The sequence below is a fragment of the Homo sapiens genome, chromosome 17, assembly GCF_000001405.40.
Source record: "Homo sapiens chromosome 17, GRCh38.p14 Primary Assembly".
NCBI classification, from domain to species: Eukaryota; Metazoa; Chordata; class Mammalia; order Primates; family Hominidae; genus Homo; species Homo sapiens.
Window position 1 is genome coordinate 182,948 of NC_000017.11, and position 8,032 is coordinate 190,979.

Sequence of the window (8,032 nt, forward strand, 5' to 3'; positions counted from 1 at the left end):
CGGTTTCCTCATCTATGAAGTGAGGCTATTTCCAACTGCACAGCCTTGTGGCAAGGCCCCATCCAGCACAGACAGGTAAGAGGTGCTCAGCTGGCTTTCCCTTCTCCCTTCCTTTGGAAAGACAAGACTCATGGTGAGAAGTGATGAGAAATTCATGTTTTGTGGTGAGTTCTGAACTGGGTGGTGGCGGGCACTACCGGCCTTTGAAAACACTGGAGAAACACATGGCATATGTTGTACTGCGCCAAGAACATTCACAGCTGTCATCTCATTGATTCCTTAAACCACCCCACGATGTAGGCAGGGCCTGCTGTTCCCATTTCACAGGGGAGGAAATTAGCGCTCAGGCACAAGGATGTGTCCAGGGTGACTGCTGGCTGGCGGCAGAGCTGCGATGAGAGCCCAGTGTCCTGACTGTTCGATGCTTCCACTTTCCCTCCCTTCTCCCTTTCCTCCCCTCCACTACAGAGCTCAGGGGCTCAGAGCAGAGTTGGAAACACAGGTAAAACCTCGTTCCCAAAGCTCATCCTGAGGCTTCTTGGACAGGGGAAGCCCAAACTGAGGAGGAGGGGAAGGAGGGAAAAAAAGGAGGAGGAAGAGGAGGACGGGAGGAGGCCAAGAGCCTCAGGGGTTACAGTGGGAATGAACCAGCCGGGGTTCCCTAAAGATAGTCTGAGGTCCTGGTGGGAGAAATATTCAGCCTTCCAAGAGCCAAAGGCCAAGGAAAGGACAGAAGAGCCTGGAAGGGCAGCCTGGCACAGAGGGGTTCTCATTTCCAGGAATGCTTAAGGGGATTAATCCTTAAATAGGCACAGGGTGACTTTTTCTGTGCCAGAGGTGGCTGCATCACAAAATGATTACATAATGACGCAGGTATTAAAATACAGACGCTGAACTGTCATTTTATCATTCCTTTACTAAGGAGCTGGAGGGTGTCGTCATCATCTTACAGATGGGGAAACTGAGGCTGCGGGAGGTCAAGTGACTAGCAAGAGGCAGACTGGAGATGAGACCTGGACGTCCTGACTGCTGAGCCTGCCAAGGCCCTGTACCTGTGTTCACCGAGAGCTGGCCGCTCTCTCCTGGCCTCTTGTCCTATGGGTCTGGTTTTTGGAGGATCGGCTCATGGCTCTTGGCTCTGCAGGAGCTGGCTCTTGGGGAGGGCTTTGAAGAAGTCAGGTGGAGGGCCCAGCCTCCTAAGCATGGAGCCAGGGAACCCAAGGATGCCCACTGGAGAAACACATGGCATGTTGGGGTCTACCCTTTGGCAGGTGGCAGAGTTGAAATCCACTCTAGGTCTGAATTTGCCCAGCTCTGAGCCCAGCTGAAATGGGGTAGGGCCTCCCCGAGGGATAGAAGTGGATAGAAGTGGTGTTATCTGGGCAAGTGTCCACTTTCTAGAAAGAGCATAGGTCAGGGAGTAGGCAGACGTAGAGTCAAAAGTCAGGTGTGCCTCCTCCTAAGCGTACCGGACTTTGGGCAAGTTGTTTAACTTAGGCCCTGGGTCTCATCTGCAATGGGGGAGAATAAGAACAACGTTGTGTGAGTTAAAGGTGAGGATGGGTATACAGTGCTTAGCACAGTGCCCAGTGTGCAACTGGCACTCAGGGAATTGTGATTCTGTTGCCCCTGCCTTCCTGGTGCAAACCGTCCCATTGCAAATCTTCCTGGTGCAAACCGTCGTGGTGCAAACCTTCCTGGTGCAAATCGTCGTGGTGCAAACCTTCCTGGTGCAAACCGTCCCAGTGCAAAACTTCCTGGTGCAAATCGTCCTGGTGCAAACCTTCCTGATGCAAACTGTCATTGCGCTCCCAGTGCCTGCCTTGATTTCTCTACCAGTGACATGTGGTTGGCTGCTCCCTGTCTGCTGCCAGGACCAGGTGAGAAATGGATGCACTTGCCAAGGCTGGGCGCTGGCTGGCATGTGTGGGCATCTCTAAGCAGTTGGATATGTCCAAAGGCTCATCAATCATGTTGCCTTCCATTCCCCATGCTGAGGTGGGCAGCTGGGCAGCTGGACCAGCCTCTGGCAAAGTTAAGTGGATGGAGTCTGCCCTTGGTCACAGTCCTCAGAAGCCCTGTGCCCTTGCCTCTCTGCCTTCTGCTTTTCCCAACAAGCTTCTGAGCTTTCTCCCAACTCCCCACAGACCCTCTCAAAGGCTCCTCCTGTCAAGTGAGATACAGTGGGTTCTTTAAAAAATGGTCCAGGTATCTGTAGCACTAGCATGTCTATTTACTTTGTCACTGAGGCTGGAGTGCAGTGGTGTGATCATGGCTCACTGCAACCTCGACCTCCCGAGGCTCAAGTGATCTTCCCAACTCAGCCTCTCAAGTATCTGGGACCAAATGCATGCACCACCATCCCCAGCTAATTTTTAAAATTTTTGTAGAGACGGGGTCTTGCCATGTTACCCTGGCTAGTCTCAAACTCCTGGCTTTAAATGATTTTCCTGCCCTGGCCTCTCAAAATGCTGAGATTACAAGCGTGAGTTGCCACACCCAGCCCAGGATGTCTATCAATAATGCAGATTCCAGGCCCCCATCTCACACCCACTGACTCAGAATATGTGTGTGCACACTCAGGATGCATCTTAACAAGCGCCCCTGATGATTCTGGTGCACAGTGAAGGTTGAGACTCGCTGGGTTAGAGGGTGCTAATGGTTTAACGGTGATTTTCAACCTGCTGGGCTGCCTCTATACTGTTCACATGTGTAACATATGCCCATCAGTGACATCTCTCAATATTTAATGATTCTTCACTGGGGAAGTGAGTGACTAACCCAAGGCAGGTGTTGGAATTTCCAGAGAGGTTTGGCAAAGCCACAGTGGGGAGTCTGATCTCCTCCTGTTTGGGTATTCTGACCTCTTTCCCGGTGGAGAAGTGTTGGGAGCAGGCCCCCCAAAATCTAGCCATAAACTGGCCCCAAAACTGGCCATAAACAAAACCTCTGCAGCACTGTGACATGTTCATAATGGCCCTAACGCCTCCGCTGGAAGGTTGTGGGTTTACCGGAATGAGGGCAAGGAACACCCGGCCCGCCCAGGACGGAAAACCCCTTAAAGGCGTTCTTAAGCCACAAACAATACCGTGAGTGATCTGTGCCTTAAGAACATGCTCCTGCTGCAGTTAACCAGCCCAACCTATTCCTTTAATTCAGCCCGTCCCTTCGTTTCCCATAAGGGATACTTTTAGTTGATTTAACATCTATAGAAACAATGCCAATGACTGGCTTGCTGTTAGTAAATACGTGGGTAAATCTCTGTTCCGGGCTCTCAGCTCTGAAGGCTGTGAGACCCCTGATTTCCCACTCCACACCTCTATATTTCTGTGTGTGTGTCTTTAATTCCTCTAGCGCCGCTGGGTTAGGGTCTCCCCGACCAAGCTGGTCTCGGCAGAGAAGGACCAGTTAATGGCTCTTCTTAGCGTAGGTAACGTGTGTTGTTGAGGAAATGCCCTCTGTGCAGCACTTGGCTGGATGTTCCTTGGTTGGCATCTTGGCTGGTGTCCATGTGCCCGGAGAAGAAGGGCCCTCTCTGACCCAGGCCTAATATGTGTCCCCCGTTTCCACCCTTCCCTGATAACCGGAGGAGATCTTGTCCTGCTGTGCTAATAGAACGTTCTCTGTATTAACAGAAAATTTTAACCCAACAGAGGTGCTTGGATGGAGGAAATCCAAACAATGTTGCTGGTTGATGGAGAGGGGCATTCCAAGGTCTCTTGTCCATTCATTTATTCATGAAGCCACATTTCAACAAATATTTATTGTGCACCTGCCCTGTAACAGGCCCCGAGCTGTGATCTGTAGGGGGCTCAGTGATAAATGAAGCCCATTTTTCTTTAGATTCCAGATGATGGAGGGGAAGTCAGGAAGGGAGGTAGGAACCACCACTCTAGGGGTCCCTTGCCTCCTTCTTGGCATACGCTATGGCCTCGGCATGGAGAGCATGATGGAGCACTGATGCCAGCAAGTCAGCTCAACATTTGCAATATAGCGTGTGGCTGCTTAGAGGCCAACTTGATATATTAAGTGATATTAAAAATGCAGCCTATTTCTGATAATTTATGCGCATTCTCATAAACACATTACACTCGTCACAGTACATTTACGAGCACCAGGCCTACCAGTGGGGAAAAGTTAACACCTACCTAATGATGTTGTTTTGCAGATGTCAGATGCTCTGGTGCTGCAGTGATGGGCTCAATGGTGCAAAGAAATGTGAGTCTTTCTTCTATCCTGGGACACCAGAAGGCTGCCCAGGGCTCGGCAGAAGAACCAGGCTCTCTCCCTCCACACTGCCAAGGTCTGTGCTGTGGGATTGGAAAGAGGCCGGGTGAGAGGCTCCCCTGCCAGGAGAGACTTAGCCCAGGATCAGGTTGCCTAAGGCAAGAGATTAGATGTCACAGAGGGATAATGCTGAATCCTCTGGGGAAGCTCTAGAAATGACCTCTGGGAGAAAGAGGGGCAGAGCCTGAGGCTTACATCACAGCACAGATCAGCCTCCCTCCCACAGGCCTGGGGACCACTAGAGCCCAGGGTCTTCATGACTGAAGTGAACATCTCAGCATTATACATGAATTAGAATGAGTAGAAACTCTAACTAGCCCAGGGCTGGTGGAAACCCAGGGCCAACAGCCACAAATGTTCCCTCCAATCGCTTTGAATTCATGATGCAATTCAAAGGAATTAACAATGCAAGTGGTAGCTTTCAATGATAACGTGTTCCACTTTTTGTGTTTGAGAGAGTCTCACTCTGTTGCCCAGGCTGAAGTGCAATGGCACGATCTCGGTTCACTGCCACCTCCACCTCCCGGGTTCAAGCAATTTTCCTGCCTCAGCCTCCTGAGTAGCTGGGACTACAGGTGACTGCCACCATGTTTGGCGGGCGTAGTTCTTTGTATTTTTAGTAGAGATGGGGTTTCACCATGTTGGCCACGCTGGTCTTGAATTCCTGACCTCAGGTGATCTGCCCGCCTCAGTCTCCCAAAGTGCTGGGATTACAGGTGTGAACCACCACACCTGGCACCCCCCGCCTTTTTTTTTTTTTTTTTTTTTTTTTTAGAGACTGGACCTTGCTTTGTCACCCAGGCTGGAATGCCATGGAGTGATCATGGCTCACTGCAGTCTTGAACTCCTGGGCTCACGTGATCCTCCCATCTCAGCCTCCTCAATAGCCAGAACCACAGATATGCACCACCACGTCCAGTTAATCTTTTTATGTTTTATTTTTTAAAGATGGGTCTTGCTATGTTGCCCAGGCTTACATGAACTGAGTTTTACATTTACTACAAATGTGTGTACCTATAAACAATATATGGTATTGTTTTGCAAGCTTTAAAACTTTGTAAAAATGGCATCATACTATACATAACCTCATTAAACTCATTTTTGGCTTATTATTATTTGTGAAGTTTTTTCCTGTAGATGCATCTAGCTATAGTTTGTTTTTATTGCTGTCTACTGTTCCACTATGTGAATACGCCATAATTTATTTCTCTTTTCTCCTATTGTTGATCATTTAAGCTGGTTCCTATGCGTGGCTATCATCAACATGCTGCAATGGCTATTCCTGTTTCCTGGTCTGTATATGGGATTTCTTTTTTTGAGACAGGGTCTCACTCTATTGCCCAGGCTAAAGTTCAGTCGTACCATCTCGGCTCACCACAGCCTCAACCTCCCTGGGCTCAGGCGATCCTCCCACCTCAGCCTCCCGAGTAGCTGGGACTGCAGGCACATACCACCACATCTGGCTAATTTTTATAATTTTTGTAGAGAAAGGGTTTGCCAGGTTGCCCAGGCTAGTCTGAAACTCCTGAGCTCAAGTGATCCTCCCACCTCAGCCTCGCAAAGTGCTGGGATTACAGGCGTGTGCCACCACACCTGGCCAGGGAGAGTTTCTTTAAGAGAGTTTCTTGGATAGGAAATTTGCTGGGCCTAGGGTCTGTATATCTTTACCTTGACTAGAGAGTGCCTAGCTGCTCCCCAAACTGGTTAGAACCACGGCCATTCTCACCAACCATCTCTAACAGTGCCAGTTCCTCCTTGTCCTTGTCAACACTTGGTATTGCCAGACTTGAATTTTTGCTAGTCTGGTAGGTTTTTTTTATGTTTAATTAGTTCTCCTTGCTAACTAGTGCTACTTCATTTCTGCTGCTAAGGGTGGGCATGTGCTGTCAATAGATAAATGCAACAGATTAAAAATTGAAGAGCTTCCATCAATAAGGGATTGGCTAAATACAGTATGCCTCACCTGTACAATAGAATACTGCACAATCATTAACAAAGATGAGTGTGCTGATATGGAAGAGATATTGATATTCTGATGTACTAAATATCTTTTCATCTCCCAGATTTATTGTTACAAAGCAAGAGGCATAAAAAGCATATTCCCTTTGTAAATAAATGAAAAGATATGTATACACATGCATATTTGTATGTATATGCGCAGAATACCTCTGAAAGAATGAACAGGAAACTGGTAACCACAGTTCATCTGGGAAGAGCACTAGAGGACAGGGAAACTTTTTTGCTCTGTGAATTCTTACCACGCATGTGTATTAGCCTGTTGGAAAAAATTAGCCCTAGAATAGGCAAATTCGTAGAGACTGAAAGTAGAATAGAGGTTGCCAGAGGTTTTGGGGTAGAGAATAGGGGGTTTTTATTTGATAGATGCATTTTCTGTTTGAGATGATGAGAGAGTTCTGAAATGGATAGTGGTGATGGTTGTACAACATTGTGATTGTACTTAATGCCACTCAACTGTACACTTAAAAGCGGTTGAAATGGGCTGGGCACGGTGGCTCACACCTGGAATCCCAGCGCTTCGGGAAGCCAAGGTGGGCAGATCACCTGAGGTCAGGAGTTCACGACCAGCCTGACCAACATGGTGAAACCCCGTCTCTACTAAAAATACAAAAATTAGCTGGGCGTGGTGGTGGTCGCCTATAATCCCAGCTACTCAGGAGGCTGAGGCAGGAGAATTGCTTGAACCTGGGAGGTGGAGGTTGCAGTGAGCCAAGATCACGCCACTGTACTCCAGCCTGGGCAACAGAAGTGAGACCTCATCTCAAAAAAAAAAAATGTTGAAATGGCCTGGCACAATGGTTCACACCTGTAATCCCAGCCCTCAGGGATGCCAAGGCAAGAGGATCACTTGAGCCCAGGAGTTTGAGACCAGCCTGGGAAAGATGGTGAGACTCTGTCTCTACAAAATGTTTTTTAAAAATTAGCTGGGTGCAGTGGTGCACACCCTGTGGTCCCAGCTGCTGGGGAGGCTGAGGTGGGAGGATTGCTTGAGCCTAGGTTGTGGTCCCAGCTGCTGGGGAGGCTGAGGCGGGAGGATTGCTTGAGCCTAGGAGGTTGAGGCTGCAGTGAATCATGTTCTCAGCACTGCACTCCAGTCTGGGCAACACAGTGAGACCCTGTCTCAAAAAAAAAAGAAGGAAAGAAAGAAGGAAGGAAGGAAAGAAAAGAAATAAAGAAAGAGAAAGAAGAGAAAGAGAAAGAAAGAGAGAAAAAGAAGAAAGAAGAAAAAGAAAGAAAGAAAAGAGAGAAAGAAAGAAAGAAAGAAAGAAAGAAAGAAAGAAAGAAGGAAAGAAAGAAAGAAAGAAAGAAGGAAAGAAAGAAAGGAAAGAAAGAAAGAAGAAAGAAAAGACCAAGTACAGTGACTCACACCTGTAATCCCAGCACTTTGGGAGGCCAAAGTGGGAGGATTGCTTGAGGCCAGGGATTCGAGACCAGCCTGGGCATCACAGTGAGACCCCATCACTACAAAAAATAAAAAAAAAAAGGAGTGGGGTATGGTAGCATGCACCCATAGTCCCAGCTACTCAGGAGGAGTGGGGAGGATCCCTTGAACTAGGGAGATCGAGACTGCAGTGAGCCATTACTGCACCATTGTATACCAGCCTGGGTGACAGAGCAAGACCCCATCTCAAAAAAAAAAAAAAAAAAAAAGGAAAAGAAAAGAAAAGAAAAATGGTTGGAATGGTATTATATCTTAGGTTATATCTATTTTACCACACTAAAAAAA

At 48.0% G+C, this 8,032-nt stretch overlaps 1 long non-coding RNA gene across 1 annotated transcript; it reads right to left on the reverse strand.

Moving 5' to 3' along the window:
- On the reverse strand, positions 877–4,304 carry LINC02091 (long intergenic non-protein coding RNA 2091). The gene is made up of 2 exons (NR_104420.1): positions 4,149–4,304; positions 877–1,511 (listed from the first exon to the last, which is right to left on the reverse strand). It is a non-coding gene; the product is annotated as a long intergenic non-protein coding RNA 2091 (long non-coding RNA).
- Positions 4,305–8,032: the final 3,728 nt, after the last annotated feature.